This window comes from Homo sapiens, chromosome 11 (assembly GCF_000001405.40).
Source record: "Homo sapiens chromosome 11, GRCh38.p14 Primary Assembly".
Taxonomy (NCBI): Eukaryota; Metazoa; Chordata; class Mammalia; order Primates; family Hominidae; genus Homo; species Homo sapiens.
The window spans coordinates 17,546,575-17,566,802 of NC_000011.10; the positions used below are offsets into that span (position 1 = coordinate 17,546,575).

At 50.4% G+C, this 20,228-nt stretch overlaps 1 protein-coding gene across 2 annotated transcripts in view; it reads left to right on the forward strand.

The window, feature by feature from the left end:
- OTOG (otogelin) overlaps positions 685-20,228 on the forward strand; it is a 98,786-nt gene continuing 79,242 nt past the window's right edge. Inside the window, exons 1-15 of one of the 2 annotated variants that reach the window (NM_001292063.2) lie at positions 685-892; positions 1,353-1,413; positions 1,578-1,638; positions 5,426-5,501; positions 6,545-6,637; positions 6,791-6,945; positions 9,205-9,323; positions 10,544-10,749; positions 11,611-11,741; positions 11,964-12,070; positions 12,478-12,587; positions 12,960-13,088; positions 14,135-14,243; positions 14,517-14,563; positions 15,088-15,233. In NM_001292063.2, the coding sequence (NP_001278992.1) occupies positions 799-892; positions 1,353-1,413; positions 1,578-1,638; positions 5,426-5,501; positions 6,545-6,637; positions 6,791-6,945; positions 9,205-9,323; positions 10,544-10,749; positions 11,611-11,741; positions 11,964-12,070; positions 12,478-12,587; positions 12,960-13,088; positions 14,135-14,243; positions 14,517-14,563; positions 15,088-15,233 (1,644 nt within the window). In that variant the 5' untranslated portion in view covers positions 685-798. Of the gene's footprint in view, positions 973-1,352; positions 1,414-1,560; positions 1,639-5,425; positions 5,502-6,544; positions 6,638-6,790; positions 6,946-9,204; positions 9,324-10,543; positions 10,750-11,610; positions 11,742-11,963; positions 12,071-12,477; positions 12,588-12,959; positions 13,089-14,134; positions 14,244-14,516; positions 14,564-15,087; positions 15,234-20,228 lie in introns of both variants that reach the window. The other variant, NM_001277269.2, reaches the window with a different exon arrangement.

Here is a 20,228-nt window from a genome sequence, read left to right on the forward strand (position 1 = left end):
GATGTACAGATTCCCCAGGTGCTCAGTCCCATGTTTTTGCCATTTTAAAATTCCTCCTGGGCAGACAGTGGACCTCGTTCACACATATAAAGTTGTTTTGTCAAAGTTTGGCCTTGATGGTGGCAATAACATAGGAGTATGAAACACTTTTATTATTCAATCGTCATTTCCTGAGCTCGGGCAGGAGCTGGTGCTGGGCATTCAGAGGACTAAGGCATGATCCATTCCCTAGAGGTGCTCAAAACTGGTCATAGGATACGGATGTGGAGACCCAGGTGGAAGCTGAGGTGGGGCATGGTGAGAACATAGGCTAGGACTCTGCAGGCTCTGTTATTGACCACTGATCCCTGAGTGGCATGTCCCAGGGCCTCAGCATGGCCCTCTGTAAAAGGAGAGGATAGGGCCAGACTCATACCTGCATCTTGCGTCTCTGGTATTGGGCTTCCAGGACCCAGGTAAGGGGAGCTGGAGGTTGCATAGGCTGCCTCTATGCTTCCCTAGACAATTTAGGGCTGAGTAATCTGAATCCAGCCTCCCCTGGGGAGGTGTGGCCACAGGCCAAGAAAAGCAGAGGCTAGGCTATGGACAGGCGCCTAAATTATGGTAATAAGCTGGGTACTCCTGTCACTCTAGTTCGGGGAGGAGCTGAGAGCCTGGGAGGAGGGGCTGAGGGAGCCCTGGGGCATGAGAACAAGAGGGACCTCGGCTGCGGAGTGGAGGTGTGACCCTGCCTTAGCCCGGGGAGGCACCTCGGGAGGCTGGCCCTGCGCTCAAGTCCTCCGGTCCCCTCGTGTCCCTATGGGAGTCCTGGCGTCTGCGCTCTGCTGGCTGCTTTGTGTCTGGCTGCCCTGGGGTGAGCAGGCAGCCGAGTCCCTGCGGGTGCAGCGCCTCGGTGAGAGGGTTGTGGACTCAGGGAGGTCGGGGGCTCGAGGAATGAGAAACGTTAAAGGAATGAGGAATGGGCCCGCGCAGGTTGGAGAGAGGGAGGAAAGAGAGGTTTGAGGGAGAGCAGAGGGACACCCAGGAGGAGCAGTCAGGGGAGGAGGGACCCCGAAGCCAACAGAGGCAGGCCTATGACCGCGGGGGAAAGAGTCCAAAGTTAGGCTGGGTGGAAGAGACCCGAGGTGGGGAACTAGAGAGAGCTGGGGGCCAAAGACTGAGAGTAAACAGGGAGATCCTGGCTGGAGAAGGGTCATCAGGAAGGGAGAGAAAGGATTTGAGAAGGCTGCAGGGAGGGAGAATGGGGGAATGCTCAGTGGCGTGGGAGAGGCTTTCTAGCAGTGGGGGCCAGGTGGTGGGAGGCCCCAGTAAAGACAAGCACAATTTGAGTGGAGAATAATCCCCCTCCCCAGCCGCAGCACCCGTTCTGTGGGGCAGTGCAGAGCCACAGCCAGAGCCAGCCGGGCAACCCAGGTGAGTAGGTGTGAGCTGTGGCGGCCCCACCCACAGCTCCCATCCGTATTTCTGGCATCAGCGACCCCAGGGCTTTAGCACTTAGGGTGGGATAGGCCAGGGGACTGCGGGGAGGCATAACCCATCCTAGCCCCCCATCCATGCCAGACTCGTGTTTCCTCCAGCAGCAGCCACCAGGAGGCGACCCTTGCCATGGGGGACAAGGCTACAGTCGTGGGAGGCCAGGTAAGGGAGGTCTTGGGAGGGGGCTTCATTGAGCAGGAGCTCATGTCTATCTGGATCTGAGGCTGGCAGGGAGCTCTGTAGGTTACAGGAGGGGTCTCTGGAGTTGTTCAGAAAGGAACAAGCAGATTCCTGGTATGTGTCTGAGGTGTGCAAGTTCATAAAACCCTTCTATTCTTTTTAATCTCTTGGGGGTCTATAGTCCACTCTTTTTTTTTTTTTTTTTTTTTTTTTTTTTTTTTTTTTTAGGAGAGGTGGGCACCAGGGCTCTTTCAGGAGAGAGCTGAGCTCTCCCTTCTGGCAGGTAAAAGTAGAAAGATGGACGTTTAGAAGAATGGAGTTCTCTTTTCCCTGACTGGCCTGCGAAGGCCCTCAACCCTGTCAGAGGCTCCTCTCCATACCCTGAGCGGAGCCTCAAGAATGCAGGCAAGACAAAAACTAGGCCACCTGGTGGAAGTTGCAAGGAAGGTTTGGTTGAGAAGCAGAGCCCTGAACTCATCCTTTGAGCCTTTTTTTTTCTTTTTTTGAGTCGGGGTCTTGCTCTGTGACACAGGCTGGAGTGCAGTCGCATAATCATAGTTCACTGCAGCCTCAACTTCCTGGGCTCAAGTGATCCTGGTGCCTCCGTTACCTGAGTAGCTAGGACTATAGGTGTGTGCCACCATGCCTGGTTGAATTTCAATTTTTTTGGTAGAGACAGAGTCTCACTATGTTGCCCAGGCTGGTCTTGAACTCCTGGCCTCAAGTGATCCTTCTGTGTCAGCCTCCCAAAGTGCTGGGATTAGGCATGAGCCACTGAGCCCGGCCTCTATCCTTTGAGTCTTGACCATTCCACTGCCCATCTTCCCACGGTCCTCTGTGTTTGTGGGAGAGGTGGCAGTTTTGTTTTCTCCCTTTGCCAAACTTCTTTGGTCTCTGGATCAGGTGACTCAGGTCTACTTTCTAATCCTGGCCCGCATTTGTCTCCCTCTTTCTATAACTACAGATGAGCTATAAGTTCCACCCACCTGCAGCTAGGTCCCCCAAAGCAGCTGAGCCTCAGCTCAAGTGCCCCTGCCCCAGCCCCAGCGGTCAGCTCTGGGGAGCCCCTTGAGCCAGCAGATTGGGGAGAATCGTTTATGACAGCAATGAGTCCCAACTCCTGCCCTTTGGAAATAGACATGAAGACCCCAAGGTGGAGTGAGGGGGGATGGTGTGGGCGTGCTTCTTCTCTGATGTGGATTTCCTGGATCTTTTACTTCTTCTTTGCCCACACTTCCAGGCCCTAAGATTTAGAATCACAGTCAAATACTGCTTGAGTTGGAAGGTATTGGAGTCATTTTTTTGTAGGTAGGGAAATTGAGGTGGGTGGATGACTTGTGGGGGCCCTGCAATGAGCAGGTGGAGCAAAGTCTACTGGCAGAGCCAGGCCGTGCATACAGGACTTCAGGAATCCCCATGTTTTAGTGGGGGAGATGACCCTTCTCCAAACACTTCATTTCCCTGTGGGTATCCTCCCGTGCTGGTTTCCAGGGTAGGCATCCCGCCTTTTCCTTGGGGAAGGGTCATAAGTGAGTGGACCAGGCAACCTGGGGAGGTTTCTCACGCTGCTCCTCAGAGCAACGAGGAATTAGAATGGCCTCCCTCTAAGGTGACAGGAGTTGGGGGGTGGGGGACTGAGGCTCATGTACCAGGGATACTTCAAGGGCTCCTGTTTGGAATGCCCTCTTCATGAAGTGGGGGTGTGCCCCAGACCAGTAGGCAACCAATCTTCATTTCAATGCTGTCCCGCTTCTACAGAGCTCAACCATTTTCTAGAGAATTGTTGTAGACAGGGGTCCATGGATGGGGGAAAATAAAAACACATTGTTATTTACAGAAACCTCAATCCAACTGAAATTCAGCATCCTTTTCAATTATTATTATAGTCTACAAACCACAAGAGTATTTGCAGTGTTTTTGACTGTCACCAATAGACATGACAGATATTTTCCTACCACTTATAGATGTTGCTGTCTCAAGATATCATTTATGTTCATCACTACTTCAAAATTTTGGCAGTGATAAGGCCCACTGCTAGATCTTTTATTTATTGAGTTATTAAAGAAGCACAAATATTACTAAATTACACATTTTTATAAAATATTTTCATAAAATGATATTGTGATATAAGTGATTTCCTTTGTAACCTTATCCTTTATTTTATGTTTTTAAAAACATTATTCTGAGAAGGTGTCCACATAGGGTCACTAAATTATCTAAGGGGTTCGTGGCATAAAAATGATTAAGAGCGCCTGATTGATTAGCCCCTGAAGACTAATCATTTGGACAAGATTTAAGAAATCCTTTAGAAAATGGCTTTGACTCTTTGCATCACAGGTTGTCTCATCCTCATGACTCATTTATCTCAGAGGCCACATCTGAAGTGGGAGTGAAGAGTGAGGACACGAAGACTGAGTTTAATTACAGCTCTCTGGTGGCTAAAGGATGCGAGTTGTTTCCTGTGACCCTGCCCTCTCCTATTTCCTGTGGTCTCTGAGGGCCCCATGAGATAGATTAGTACCCGGGTGGGAAACCTGACTCCTGGGGCTGGGGCTGGGTCGACTGGGTAAGGATTGCTCGGGAGAACCCAGGAACCAGGGGCCAAAGTAGGTGAGGACACCAAAATCTGGCTAAGATGTCAGGAAGACCATGAAGATGAAAGGTGTGAGCGTAAGGGACAAGGTGGCCAGGCTGTGCCTGCCAGGGCAGGGCCAAGAGCTGGGGTTGGCTCCAGGGACCAAGGGCCTGAATATTTCCTATGTTCAAGTCCTTTGCTGGATGACAATGAGGGAGGCTGACATGTGAGGTAAATACCCACAGTGCAGTTTGTGGCTTGTTGGCCCTATGAACAAGCACATAAGCTCCAAGAGGGCAGGGACTCTGCCCTGTTCACTGCATCCAGCACAATGCTTGGCACAGGGTTCTGGGGACATTGTACAAATGAGGAGGCTGAACCTCTAAGGGAGGAGGAGCCAACTGTGCCCAGGATGCCGGTTCCAGGTGACATTAGACGTCTCGGACTGGAGTTCTGAGAGGGCTGGTGTATAAGTCATCTAGTCCTGTGGTGACTGAACACCCCTGTTGTTATATAGTCCTGATTTCAGGCGGTTTATGTCTGGAGAGACCATGCTCTGGGAGTTCTGTCTGGAAAATAGGGTTTCTAAGCCACACACTTGGCCTGTCTCCTCCTTAGACCTGAGGTATCAGGGCAGGAGTCCTGACTGGGAGCTGAGTTGTGAGGACAGTGGGTGTTGATCTGTGGGCTGCTGGTTTTGCTGTTCTTGGAAGAACCCCAAAGGAAGGTTGGGGTGGGGGTGGCTGTGGGGGTGAGATGTTCCCCTGACCTGGGGTGAGGGGCTGCCTTTGTTCCTTAGCTCTGCCTCATGCTCGTAATCCAGACAAGGGATTGTGTGTAAGGCTGTGGAGGACATAAGGGTTTACTGGGAGAGAGGGAAGAAAAGGAGGCTGGCAGGTATTGGGGCATGGAGGGGAGGGGCTGTGTTCCAGCCATGGGCCTCATGGTCTGCCGCAGAGATGCCACTTGGGAAGGTGAGAGCTAAGCCTTTGTTCCTCTGAGCCCAGGGCAGGCCTAAACATTCTCCTCTGCCTCTCGAGGGGGCCAGGCGAGGAGGAGTGGCTGGGGCACTGAGGGGCAGGGGCTCCTCCCTCTGGGAGATGAACAAAGAGGGCTGTGGCCACCAGGAAGCCTGCCTGGGAACCCGTCCTGAGGTCAGCCCTCGATGTGTTCTCTTCCTCCTGTCTTCACAAGCAGGCTGAAGCCCCAGACTCCGTGGCCATGTCTTCCTGGGAAAGGCGGCTCCATCGGGCCAAGTGTGCACCATCCTGTAAGTGGCACCTTCACTGTGGTCCATGGGTTGTGCATGGGAGAGCCCTGGCAGAGGCCTGAAAGGGCAGAGGGCAGGTGGGGCTTCCCTCAGGCCTCCATGACCCCTTTTTCCTGCTTGGCATCTCCTTCCACCCACTCTGGCCCCGGCCACCATGCCATTTGGCATTCTCCTCCCTGCCTGAGGAGAGCTTCCTCTCTAGAGTCCTGTTCCTATGACCATGGCCCGGGACTGCCCCCTCACAGGCTGACTCCAGTGAGACTGTGCTTCATTATTTAGTGGTTGTTTCCCCCTCCATCCCACCTGGTTCTGTGGCTTCTTTCTACTTTCTGTGGTATTGCCCTTCATCTTGTGTTGTCTGTAGCCCCCACTCCCTGTCCTGTGTCCATGGTCCCCCTCACCTGTCCTAGGTCTGTGGCCTCTCCTCCCACCTGTCCTGTGTCTGTTCCTACCTCCCCCACCTGTCCTGTGTCCCCCACCTGTCCTGTGTCCCCCACCTGTCCTGTGTCTCCCACCTGTCCTGTGTCCCCCACCTGTCCTCTCACATCATGGCTCCTTTCCTCGCTGCCCTCTGCTCTGCTTTGTCTTCCCTTCGTCTATGGTTGTTCTTGCTACAGGCCTCTCCTCCATCGCCTGGTTACCCCCGTGGCTTCTTCCCTGAGTGTGTGGAGCAGTGAGGAGGAGCAGCAGCTGCAGATCTCTGGGCAGTCCCCCTGCTCACCCCACATGCTCCCCATTCTCAGTTCTGCCTGCCTTGCTTGCTAGCCAGGAACAGCTCTAGCAACTGAAGGCCCAGGTGGGGCTGGCCTGGGGGCCACTTGATGCACATCAAAGGCAGATGCCCTGCGACCCCACCCCACCGGCTTGCCAGGGAGGGGGCAGGGCTGTGGTCTGAGGCACCAGCTTGTGCTAGCTGCTGAGGAATGTTGGGGCTGGGGCTGCCTGTTATGGGGGTCTGGATCCTGTGAAGCCTGAGAGGGCTGCCTCCCTGGGTTCTGCCAATCTCAGCTTGATGGGGCAATGACTCTGTGTCTCCCATGCAGACTTGTTCTCCTGCTTCAATGGAGGCGAGTGTGTGCACCCAGCCTTCTGTGACTGCAGACGCTTCAATGCCACTGGACCGCGCTGCCAGATGGGTGGGTCTGGGCTCCACCCCACCCCCAGGAAGGGACCTGGGTGCAGGGAAAGCTAGGGAGAAAGGGAGCAGCACTTCCAGGGCTGGAACCCACCAGCCTCTGGCTTGGTGCCCACTGTAGCTACACAGAGAGGTTCTCTTTTCTCTCCCTCAGTGTACAATGCCGGCCCTGAGAGGGACAGCATTTGCCGGGCGTGGGGGCAGCACCACGTGGAGACATTTGATGGGCTCTACTACTACCTCTCCGGAAAGGGCAGCTACACCCTGGTGGGTCGCCATGAGCCCGAGGGACAGAGCTTCTCCATCCAGGTGAGGCCTCCCCTGCCTTGCCTGTCCAGGAATGCTTCTCTAGGCCCTGGAGGCTGCACTGGCCTGGGCTCTACTTGTCATAGTTAGAGAGACTGGCACCTTCCTCCTTGCATCGCCCCCCAGCTCCCACCCAGGCAGTCTGCACCTGGAAGGAGCTGGGGACTCCACAGCTCTCGCTCACCCACTCACCCTGGCCATTCATTTATTGAGCCACTCATTCATCAAGTATTTACTAAGTGCATACTGTACTCTTTTCTGGCATAAGGTCTGGTGGCGGGAGGCCCTGTAGACAACAACACAGGTATAATCTTTGTCTTCTCAGAACTTATAGTCTAATGAAGAAGGACATCAAATCAGAGGACTCATTTCAGGTGCAAATGAGTGCTATGGAGGAGAAATGCCAAATGCTAAACGAACATGTCCTGAAAACCTAATCCTGTTTATTCGGAAGGATGGTGACCTGGGAAAGCTTCCTGGAGAAAGTCACATTTAAGTTGAGGTTTAAGGAATAAATTGGAGTTAGCCAAGTGAAGAGTAGGAGAGTGTGGGCAGACTTGAGAACATTCTGGGGAAAAAGATCATTGGGTGCTAAGAAAGAGACTAGGGCCTCAGAGAAATGATGGAGGTCCTGGGTGACTCAGTTTAGAGTCACCTCCTCTAAGAAGCCACCCTGGATCTCCTGACCTTCCAAGCTGGCTGAAGAGCTCCTCACTGGGTAACTCAAAGTTCCATATTATGACGCTGTCATTGTATTTCTCTTACAAAGGTCTGGTTTTGGGTTGGTTTTCTCTACCAGCTGTGAGCTTCCTAGGCCAGGGGTCATGTCTCTCTCTTTGACAGTGCCTGGATTGGTGCTCAGTAAAGGTTTGTGAAATATAGGAACACGTGTGAAAGCCACTGTCATGCAGGCCTGATTTTCATGCCTAACCTGTGTGCTAAACTGGGAGTCACCTTCAGCCACAGCTCAATACCCCTCCACCTGGAGGAAAGTCTCTTTGGAGAACCAGCTCTGTTGGAGGGCACCTTGGTCAGTACTGAGTTAGGGTCAAGGGGTTGGGGGTGTGGGGAGACCCCAGTGTTCAGTGTCTCCCCTCTGCTAGCCATTTGTGATCCTTCTGTCTCAGTCATGGACCTATGAGACTGCTCTAGGGGCCATGCCCTGGATGGGCGGGGAACTGCAACCAATTTTCCTCTCTCTGCCTCGGCCTATCACATAGCAGAGATTTTCATGACCTATCATTTCATGATGGATATGTTACAATTACTTAGACTAATGCATTGCCATACACTCGTGGGTTACAAAATCAACTTAACGAATCACAACCATCATTAAAAAATGAGACAAATAAAATAGAAAATATTGTAAGAGTGTATTACGCATGATAGAGATAAGTATTATTTTGTAAAATTTTTAGTTATATATATTTCTTATTGTAGGTCATGGTCACAAAAGCTTGAAAACCCTTTAGTTAGACCATGGGGTAGCTTTCACAGTTCCCACTTGTAGTTGAAGTGGCTCCAGCCTGCTTAATCACATTGAACAGTAATCTGATGGAAGGTGCCTTCCTGGGAAGGGTTTCCACACTTGGCAGGGATAAGCTCTGGGAAGCTCTCCCCTCTACCCCACCCCGTCCTTTGGGTCTATGGCCTTTGAAGTCTGGGTTCTGTCTGAATGGCGGGGGCAGAGATGTGTGTGTGTGTGTGTGTGTGTGTGTGACAGCAGCACAGGAGTGAGATGTGTGCCGATGGGTGTAGGGGAAAGTTACAATCTGTACCTGCCAGGGGCATGGGGGAAGGGGAGTGTGTGTATAGTGTGTGCACTGAGAGTGTCATGGGAGAAATTTATGGGGTGTGTATAGATGTGTGTGTTTGTGTTCTGTATGAGTGTGAGATGGTGGAGTATGTCTGTTGGCCTTCAATCTGATGGTATTTCCTGGGTAGGATAAAGAGAAAAGTTCAGAAATACGGAGATGGCATGATTGACTGGGAAGAGCCCTGGAATCTGAGCCATCCAGACCGGGGCTAGAATCCCAGCTCTGGGATTTCCTAGTTTTCTGTGTGTGGCCTTAGTCACTTCACCTCTCTGTGAATCCATTGCCTCCCCTCTGTGATGTATGGGGACTGAGCGAGATCACAGAGGAAAGGCAGTTGGTATGCAGGGGACAGCCATCGGCATTAGTGAAAACTCAATAAGGTGTGAAGCTCAGGGTCAGGCCTGTGGCAGGAGCCTGCAAACCAGCCTCTGAACTCCCTACTCAGGTACACAATGACCCGCAGTGTGGCTCTTCACCCTACACCTGCTCCAGGGCTGTCAGCCTCTTCTTTGTGGGTGAGCAGGAGATCCATCTGGCCAAGGAGGTCACCCATGGAGGCATGAGGTAACTCTAACACCTTCCACATCGAGCTGTCCTATCCCTGACACTGGTGGTGGTGGATGGGTGAGCATCCGCTCTTCTCAAGCCCAAAGGAAATTGTTTTCTGGGGACAAACAGCAATTTCCACTATCTGGGCGGAAGCATACTGGCAGATCACTGGGTTTCTTGCCAGTGGGGTTTGCAGAATGATTTTTTTTTTCCTGGAACTCTCAGATATTGCAGATTTCCAGACAGCAGGCTTTCAGGAAAATAGAGTTTTCCAGTGAGTTGAGAGTTTATCATGATAAGCATGCTTACTTTTCCCTCCCAAAATCTTCCCAAATGGATCATACACAGTTTCTACCTCCTCTCAGCAGATTCGGAGTACACTTCCATTTCTGATGACACAGGGTCATTGTGAATGTCAGTTATCTTGCTGGGCCAACAGGGATGCTTGGAGGACCACCAGAGGAGTGGGGACCCCTTGCTCCCATACTAAAATGCCCCAGACTGTGGTCCTTTGTGAAATCTTTCCTGCATCTCTTCCTCACTGTTCTTTCCTTTCCTTGCTGTCCACTGTCACTTCTTGTTGCTGTCATGGGGTCTTCCTGTAATGACACTTCTCCCTGTCCTCATCTCCTGCTTCAGATCTGGAAACTGGGTGACCAAGCAATTGTTCTGGGGCTGAGTGTAAAATTGATGGCCTATAGGTTTCTCCTGTGAATGAAGAGTTGGTAAATGGGTCTTGTGGCTAGTTAGACAGTACTTTTGTTTCCCTTTCCTGAAATTTTGCTGGGTTCAAGGTTGCCAAATTCCAGGTTGGCTAGGGGTCCCTGTACCAGGAAAACTGGGAAAGTGGTCAAGGCTGCTGGAGCCCGCCATCTTTTCTTGCACTCCCAGTTTTCCTCCTCTCTTGGCTTCTGTTTCCACTTGGTTCCTGCTCCCCACCAAAAAAATAAAGCAGATGTTTGTTTATATTCTATCCTGTCTGGGAGAAAGGAACTTGGAGTCACTCACTCTAAGATTTATTCCTGCCCAGGAAATTGCCGTCTTAAAAAATTTCTAAAGACAAAAGAATCCATCTCTAATGGTATACTTCCAGGCACCTGGGAATTCTGGGAATTCATGGGGAGGGGAAGTGGGGGCCTTGGATCATGGGGTAGGGACTGGCTGTTCCTTCGGTGAAGAGACTGGGCTAGTGGAGGTGTTGTGGATACCCTGAAGCTCTGGGATGTGCCCTGCAGGGTCCAACTGCCACATGTCATGGGGAGCGCGCGTCTGCAGCAGCTTGCCGGCTATGTCATCGTGCGGCATCAGTCAGCCTTCACACTGGCCTGGGATGGTGCCTCGGCTGTCTACATCAAGATGAGTCCAGAGCTTCTGGGCTGGACCCATGGGCTGTGTGGGAACAACAATGCTGACCCCAAGGATGATCTGGTGACCAGCTCTGGTGAGGGTCAGACAGGTGGCCTCTGAGGGGTGTTGGTGGGGATGGGGGACAGGTCAGGCTGGGAGGGGTTGGAGGGGACTTGGAACAGAGCCCTGGGGTCGTGGTCATGGTATTAAAGACCCAATGGAAGGCCAAGGACCCCTTCCTAACAAATGTGTGTCCTTGGGCATGTTCTTAAACTACTGTCAACCCCAGGTTCCTAATCTGCAAAAATAGTCATGATAAGAATTCCCACTAGGGTTGTGGGGGATCTAATAGACACTTTGCAGGTGGGATTGACCCTGCAATGTGGGGCATGGGGTAGGCAGGGAGCAGAGGGCTAGAGACAGCCAGGAAGAGAAATGGCCCAGCTAAAGACACCTATGGAGGAGTGGTAGGAAGTGAGTGAAGCGTTCAGGGCCAAATCATGGTGGCTCTGGCCAGAAGGGTCGTGACCCCTTTTGAGCACCTACACCATACTAAACACTTTACATGCATCATCTCAAGTAGTCCTTGCAACAATCTCACTGGGAGATTATGTTCCCTATGGCAAATATGGGGAAACTGAGGCTCAGAGAGACACAGGAGCTTGTTCAGGCTCACACACCAGTTCTCTTTCCGGTGCATGGTGCTGCATCCCCTGAGTTTGGAGCCATAGGGAGCTACTACAGGTTCCTGAGCATTCTTGGCTATTACTATCAAACAGCTTTTTCAGGAGAATGGCTCAGTTGGGAAACCCTGATTGGGATGGGAGCTCAGGAGACCGGATTCTTCAAAACTCCTTACCCATCCCTTGGGATCCGCTTTCCCTCAGAGCCTTCTGTCCCTCCCATCCACCCAACCCCATCGCTGCCCCATCATGATGTCAGCTCCCTCCTCCAGGGAAGCTGACTGACGACGTGGTTGAGTTTGTGCACAGCTGGCAGGAGCAGGCCCCTAACCAGCCTCCAGGGCCCACAACTTCCTCCCTGCCTCGCCCACCGTGCCTACAGCAGAACCCAGGAACCATGCAGGTCTGGAGCTTGGGGAGAAACTCCCCTACCCTAGAGCCTGACTTGCTATCCAACTCTTCGAAAGCCACTGGCTGTGGCACCCCAGAATGTCTGGTGCCCTTGACCCCATCCCTCTCTTCTCTGCCTTCCTCTCCCTCTCCCCACAGCTCAAGTTGGGGTTCTGTGTGGGGCTGTGTGTGGCTTTGCCAGCCCCTAGCCCTGGCTCCTGGTCCCTTGCTCTAGGGCGTGTACGAGCAGTGTGAGGCTCTACTGCGGCCCCCCTTTGACGCCTGCCACGCCTACGTCAGCCCTCTGCCCTTCACAGCCAGTTGTACCAGTGATCTCTGCCAGTGAGTAGGGGTGGTGTGGGCTATGGGGAACCCTCTAGTATTGGGGTGAGTGCTCAGCACACGGGCCATCAAACTGGGTGATCCCAGGCACTGCCAGATCTGCTTCCCAAGGCTCTGAAATTCTTATCTGCCTAGGTGGGACAGAGCTGCCCCATTCAACTGAGGCTTGGAAATGGGGCCGGACCCCGTTAGGGTCACATAACAAGTTAGTGGCAATGCTGGGACTAGAATCCAGGATTTATAGCTCAAGTCTAGGGATCTGTTCACCTAGATGCCTTCCTGGGCAGCCTTTCCCAGCTGGGTGGAGAGGAGAGATGCCCTGAAGCCCTGGCAGTGTCTATGGGATGCTGGTGGGCTGGTGGCACTTTGGGTTTTGTTCCAGTGTGACCCTTGGTTTCTCTGCACAGATCAATGGGTGATGTAGCCACCTGGTGCCGGGCACTGGCGGAGTATGCCCGGGCGTGTGCCCAGGCAGGGCGGCCCTTGCAAGGCTGGAGGACCCAGCTCCGGCAATGCAGTAGGTGCAGCCCAGTAGTGGGGCAGGGAGGCCTTCAGGCTGTGGGTGGCATTCTCAGGCCTCAGCTCAATGTCTTGTCCTGCTCAGAATCACAGTTATCAGAACTCTCAGCCCCGAGGTTTTATCGCCATGAGAAAGACGAAAAAACTGAGGCTCAGAGTGGGAGGAGCTAGCCTGGGTGATTCTCAGAGCCTCCCCTTGCAATTCCTTCTCCTTGTCAATTTCCTGGGCACCCAATGCTCCCTCTGGGACTAGGAAATCATGAAAATCAAAGCCCTCCCTCCCATCCTCACTCCACGGCCTGGGGTAGGAGCTGGGTCCTGGCAGAGCTGGGGCCAGTAGCTGAGAGACCATGGATCCCTCCTTCCCAAGCTGTGCACTGCAAGGAGAAGGCCTTTACCTACAATGAGTGCATCGCCTGCTGCCCTGCCTCCTGCCATCCCCGGGCATCCTGTGTGGACAGTGAGATCGCCTGTGTGGACGGCTGCTATTGCCCCAATGGTATGCTAGGGGCAGACGTAGGTGCCTGGCACCATCTTCCTGGCCTGGCACAGATGGCCACGAAACAGGAGTTCAGAAGATACCTGTTTGTGGAAGGAAGGAAGGAAAGGAGGGAGGGAGGGAGGGAGGAAGGAAAAAAAGAAGGAAAGAAGGAAGGGAAGAAGGAAGGAGGAAGGAAAAAAGGAGGAAAGAAGGAAGGGAAGAAGGAAGGAAGGAAGGAAGGGAGAGAGGGAGGGAGGGAGGAAGGAAGGAAAGAAGGAAGGGAGGGAAGGAAGGAAGGAAGGAGCAAACAATTAACAAATGAATAAATGGTTTAAGGGAAGTGAGGGTGAGGACAGAACTGCAGCCTCTCGAGAGATTCATCAGGACATTTGATTTCATAGGGATATTTAAATTAATCAGGACTGCGCTTCTTAAGGTGTGTATGAGAACAGATCATTGGTTTATGTATACACATACATTTGTTTAAGCATTGGTCCATGTATGGGGACTGGTTTTCAGTGTATAAATTTGCAGCACATCTATAGTGTGCTTGGCTAGGAGGATGGTTGAGATAAAAAATATAAAAATAAAGCCATTGACTTTGGGAATCAGAATCTGGTTTCAGAGATATCACGCTCATATGACCAGTCTAAGGTATGATGTGGTGAAAGCCAGCTCAGGGGAGTTCAGATAAGAAAAAATACAGGAATTCAGAATGGGGAGAGGTTGTCAGGGAAGTCATTCCTGGAGGAGGTGGTGCCTGGCACCTAAGCTGTTTTTGATGCGGTGACAGGCTTTTGAGAGGTGGTGAGGAGAAGCTCGTGTGCAGGTTGGGGATGGGGTTGTGGGCAGTTCTCTGAGCAAAGGTCTAGGGGTGGGATTCTTTCATCAGAAGGTGTTCACTTCTGGCCTGAGCCAAGGATTTATAGAGGAGAAAGTTTGGAAGTCGGTTCAGAGATGAAAGAAGTTAGATAAGGGGATCTTTATCAGAGGCCCTGGGGAGCCACGAATGGTTTGTGAACAGGGGCAAAGGTGAGTTAATTGGCCCTTTGCTGTCACTCTAGGGCTCATCTTCGAGGATGGGGGCTGCGTGGCACCAGCTGAGTGTCCCTGTGAGTTTCACGGGACTCTGTACCCACCTGGCTCTGTGGTGAAGGAAGACTGCAATACTTGGTCTGTGTCTGCTGCCGGGAAGCAGGGTGTGGGGCATGGCCGCTGAGGCTTTCCACGAGGGCTGCCCATCTGGGAGCACTAATGGCTGGCGTCGGGGCACTCACTCAGTACCTTTGAGTCCCAGGGGAGTCTCATTAGATCCAATCCATGGGGGAAATCTCTACCACCCATTTTAGAGATGGGAAGACTGAGGGCTGTGGGCCCTGCAGTTTCCCAGCATCTAGCTCAGGCCTGGAGGGGTGACCTCTTGCCTCCTTGGTCTCTGTGTTTTAGCACATGCACCTCAGGCAAGTGGGAGTGCAGCACAGCTGTCTGCCCAGGTATGTCTGCCCCCCACCTTGCACTAGGATCCCTTCTACCAGTCTGATAGGTTTTGGGGCAAGGAATCTCTGGGGGCCAGGCTTGCTGCGGGTGGGGATGTCACTCAGTTCCATTGGCTACGCCCCGACCCCTGTTTCCTCAGAATCACTTTGCCTGATTAAGGTCTGGCTCCAGCCCCTGCCAGGAAGGGTTTTCCATGAGGAGAAGGGGTTTCCATGGGTTCTGTATATCTAAAGACCTTCCCGAGCTAGGGGTACTTGGCCTGAGGCTGGTCCTCAAGGCTAGGCCCTGGTCTCCCCTCCAAGGGAGATCCCCAGGGCAGGGCTGTACCTCTCTTCAAGGAGTTCTCTGGGGACAAGCCTGTGTCTCCCACTGCCCAGGGCTCTCAGGGGCCAGGCCTCATTCCTTATACTGCTCTTATTCTGGAGGGCAGGGTGCTGTGTCCTCCTCATACTTGGAGCTTGCAGGGCAGAGTTCCCCTGGGGCGGCTCCCATGGGTCAGTGGCCTTTTTCTACCTCTCAGCTGAGTGCTCAGTGACTGGTGACATTCACTTCACAACCTTTGATGGCCGCCGGTACACGTTCCCCGCCACATGTCAGTACATCCTGGCCAAGAGCCGCTCTTCGGGCACCTTCACCGTGACATTGCAGAATGCCCCATGTGGCCTGGTAAGAGCTGGGGATCCCCAGGCCCGATCCACCCAGCTACTCCTGCCTACTGCCCCCAAGAGAGACTGGGACTTAGGACAGGGCTCAGGTCTTCCCATGGCCCCCACCTGCTGCCTCTTCTCTCTGGGGAGAAGACTGGACTCCAGCCCAAGCACCTCTGCTCTCTGCTGACTGAGTCACTTCCCTTTTCTGGACCTCAGTGGGTTTTTGGTTTTAGGATTTTACTACCTAAAAAAAAAATATATATATATATATATATATATATGTATGTATATGAAAGTGTAACACTGGCACCTACTTTTAAATCCATTAATTTATGAAACAAATCTCTTGTAGAATATGTTGGCATTGAAACAGTAGGTGGAGCTTGCAGTGAGCCGAGATCGTGCCACTGCACTCCAGCCTGGGCAACAGAGCGAGACTCCGTCTCAAAAAAAAAAAAAAAAAAAAAGAAATGTAATGGCTATCTACAAAAAGTTAGTTTTGATTGTTGGTTTCCTCCCATATTTTATGTGTCTTCACACTTAAAGAAAATTAAAATTTTCAAACATTTTATATTCCACAATTTTTGAAAAAGTACACCGTTTTTCACTGCTATGGTCTTTATAAAGGACATGACTTAAAATTTCAAATAAAAAAGAATGAATGTTCTAGGATAACTCTGTCTTTTAAGAGCATCTTTATACGGAACAATTTGAACTGGCATTCAGGCAACTTCTTTTGTTGTTGCACACCTGTATTAGGAAAATTACACCCATTTTACAAAAAAAAAATTCCAAACTATTTACTGAAATAAGCTCAAAACAATGTTAGAAAGACCAGTGTGAATGGCACACAAAAATCTCTTCCTTATAAATTATTAACTGGAATTCCTGATCATGGAGTGGGCCTCAGTGTTTAAAAAAAAATCTCTAAAATTGGTTTAATTTAACTTTATCGTCTCTGCTTCATTGGATTGCACCTTCAACATTCGTCCCTCCCTTCCTTCCTTCTTTCCTTCCATCCTTTTGTCCTTCCTTCTGCAAACATTGAATACCTATTTGTGCCAGAGGCTGAGCTGGGTCTTGGAGACTGGGATGAATTAGACATGGCTCCACCTCCCTGGGCCCTATAGTTTGGTGGGCAAGGCAGGCAAGTGAACTGTTGTAACTGGGCTACAGCAGCTGTGAGAACATGGAGGGCACAGGGTGGATCTCTACGGGGGAACTTCTTGTTGTTGTTGTTTTACTTGGGCACTGGGTGACAGAAGTGTGAAGTGGATCAGGAAGGGCTTCCTGGAAGACATGACCCTTGAACTGTGTCAATCACCTGTGAACATAACTGAGAAAATGGCCAATGTGCAAGTCTGGGGTAGATGGGGGTTTGTTTGTCTCTCAGCGGAGACTCCGTTGTCCCTGGGTTGATCATGCTCAGCCAACCCTGGAAGCCCCAGTCTGGGCTGTGCCAAAGCTCTTCCTTGTGCATCAGAGCAGGAGCTCACACCCACAGCCAGGGCAGCTGCCCCACAGTCCTGCCTCCCTGCTGGCCTTGCTCCAGCCCCCAGCACTGAGGGCCCTGAATGTGAGCAGGCATCAGCTGAAGGTGTCACTCCATGGCCCTGGGGACACAGGCTGAACTGTGGATGAGGCAGAGGACTGGTCTTTCTTCTCCTTTTGGCCTGAGTGTGCCCCTCCCTTCTTTCTGCTAGAGAATGGCCCAGCCCTGGCTTGGCTGCTCTCTGAGTCAGGAGACTGCTCTTCCTCAAAAGTGGGGTCATTCCCATCACATCCTGAGGGTGGCATAAGACAGACAAGACACACAGACACAGCCCAGCTGCTCCTTCCCACTTACAGAATCCTGGGGGCTATTGGGTCTCAGGGTCCCTTACTCAGAATCCCCCCCTTTTTTTTTGGAGACAGGATCTCACTCTGTTACCCAGGCTGGAGTGCAGTGGCGCAATCTCAGCTCACTGCAGCCTCAACCTCCCAGGCTCAGTCGCTCTTCCCACCTCAGCCTCCCAAGTAGTTGGTACCACAGACACGTGCCACCACACCTGGCTAGTTTTTGGTTTTTTTTTTTTTTTTTTTTTTTGGTATTGTTGAGGCTTCATCATGTGGCCCAGACTAGTCTCAAACTCCTGGGCTCATGTGATTTACTCTCTTCAGCCTCCCAGTGTTGGGGTTATAGGTGTGAGCCACCACACCTGGCCATCAGCCCTTCTCTCTACCATGTCTCTGATAGGCTGTGGGTCAGCCTTGGCCTGAGTCAACCCTCTTCTTTGTGGGACAGTGCCTCTTGACAGCAGGTTCTTTTTACCTTGGGCCAGCTCTCCTCCTTGTGACTTCACCCACATGATGGACCCATGGAGGGCCAGCCCTGTGCCAGCTCTGTGCTGGGCATGGTGAGGTTACACAGAGTAATCAGACCCTGATCCTATCTTCAGGCTCTTGTGGCCTGTAGGGAGGTCAGCGTGTCCTCAGACAGCTTCCATACAGCTACAACATGATCAGTGCCATCACAGGGGAGTTCTGTGGAAGAAATAGTCCTATAGGTCAGAAAAAAGGATCAGGGAAAACCTCATGACAGAAGTGGCATTTGGGCTGAGTGACCTAAAAAGTGAGCCTAAAAATATTCATAGAAATCAGTATGCCTGGGTAAGGAGAGGGAGGGAGGGCACTCCAAGGGTTGATTAGATTATATGAGAAAAACAACGAGGTTGGAATATTCCAGGATCCATTAAAGCAGATGCAGAAGGACTTGGCAACTGACTGACTGTGTCTGGTGAAGCGGGGAGTGTGTGGGAGAGAAGTCAAAGATGAAGCTGCGACTGCACTCCTGGGTGCCCAGCAATGGAGTGGAGTGGGGACATTCACAGAGAGGATGATAATGACAATGATAAAATATTTGCACAGTGCCTTGAACTTTGACTAACTACTTTGCAAAAAACATGTACTTTAAGTCTTAACATACCCCATGTGGTAGTTATCATTCTCCCCATTTTAAATATGATGAGACAGGCCTACAGAGGCTTGGGGCATTTTTGAGAATCCACAGCCAGCAGGAGGCAGAGCTGAGCCCGACCTAGGGTTGGATGTTATCACAGCATCTGAACACATCCACCCCAGAATCTGTGTAGTGTTTGCAGCCCTCAAAGTGTTTTTTTAAAGTAGACTTTATGTTTTAGAACATCTTTAGCTTTACAGAAATATTGCAAAGATAGTACCTAGAGTTCCTGTCTATCTTACGCCCAGTTTCCCTTGACATCTTTGTTAAAAATAATGAACCGATGTTAATAGATTATCATTAGCCAAAGTGCATACCTTATTTAGATTCTATAGTTTTTTACCTAATGTCATTTTCTGATCCAGGGTACCAGATTACATATAGTCATCATGTCTCCTTAGGCCCTTCATGGATGTTACAGTTCCTCAGATTTCCCTTGTTTATGATAATCTTCAAAGTTTGAAGAGTGCTGGTCAGCTGTTTTGGATAATGCCTCTCTATTGGAATTTGTCTGATTCTTTTTCTCATGGTTTGACTGGGGTTATGGTTTTTTTTGGGAGGAAGATCACAGAGGTAAAGTGCCATGTTCATCACATCTTATCCGTGGTATATACTATCAACATTGTTTATCACTGTTGATTATGACCTTGATCATCTGGTGGAGGTAGTGTTTTTCAGGTTTCTCCACTGTAAACTTACTCCTTTTTCCCCCTTTCCATACTGTTCTTTTTGGAAGGAAGTCACTATGGGCAACCCACACTTACAGAGTGGGAAGTTATTCTCCCCCTCCTTGAAGGCAGAGAATCTACATGCATTATTTAGAACTTTTCTGCCAGGGAGATTTGTCTCTTTTCTCCCATTTACTTATTTATATCAGCATAGACTCATGGCTGTTTATTTTATACTTTGAGTTATAATCCACTACACCTTTATGTTCTTACTTGAATTGTTCCAGCTTTGGGCACTGGGAGATCATACAGTTGACTCCTGTGTCCCTTTGACATACCTTCATTATTGCGTGTGTATATGCTAGTGGTGGTGGGGCTTGAGTGTGTGTGTGTGCTTTCATGTCTTTACTTTCTGGGCCTATTAGATGCACCAGGCTTATCTTGTATAGTTCCTGTCCCAGTGCTAGTATCATTCATTTCTCCAAAAATATTACCAGGTTCTCCTGATTCCTTTTATTGGACGATGGTATTAGAATCAAGATCAGGGGATGAGGTGTGCTCATTGCTACTGGGGTATGACTTCCTTTAGGCCTTCTCAGCTGACAGAGAAAGGAAATACCCTTATTATCTGTGGGGTATTTCCACAGATAATGTGGGTATTATCTGTGTTCCAGCACCCCACTCCCCACAGATACCAAAATCTGCAGATGCTCAAATTCCTTATGTAACATGGTATATAGTATTTGCATATAACCTATGCTCATCCTCCTGTGTACCTTAAATCCTTGCTAGATTACTTATAATACCTAATACAATGTAAATGCTTATATAAATAGTTGTTATGCTATATTGTTTAGGGAATAATGGTAAGAAAAGTCTGTACATGTTCAGTACAGAAGCAAGCATCCATATTTTTTTCCAAATATTTTCAATCCATGGTTGGTTGAATCCATGGATGCAGAACCCCTGGATATGGAGAGCCGACTGTATATGCATATCCATGTTTATCTTAGTATATACACATAAGTATAAATATTTCTCTATAAAACCATCTGTATCTACATGTGCTAAACATGACTTCATACTGATGGTCCAATTCTAATCCATTCCACATGGATCATTCTAGCTTCCTCCTCTTGCTTATCTGTAAACACTCACTCTAACAGTAAGAAACCTGGCCTTCACCATACACCATCCATTTACCTAATTGTTCAATTCCAGCATACATGTATATTCCTATTATTAACGCATACCTCTATAGGAAATAACTTTATCAACTAAAGTACAGGTTTTGTTCTCAGTTTCTTTTGCCTTTAGTCTTATAAATTCTACTTATTTACAAAGC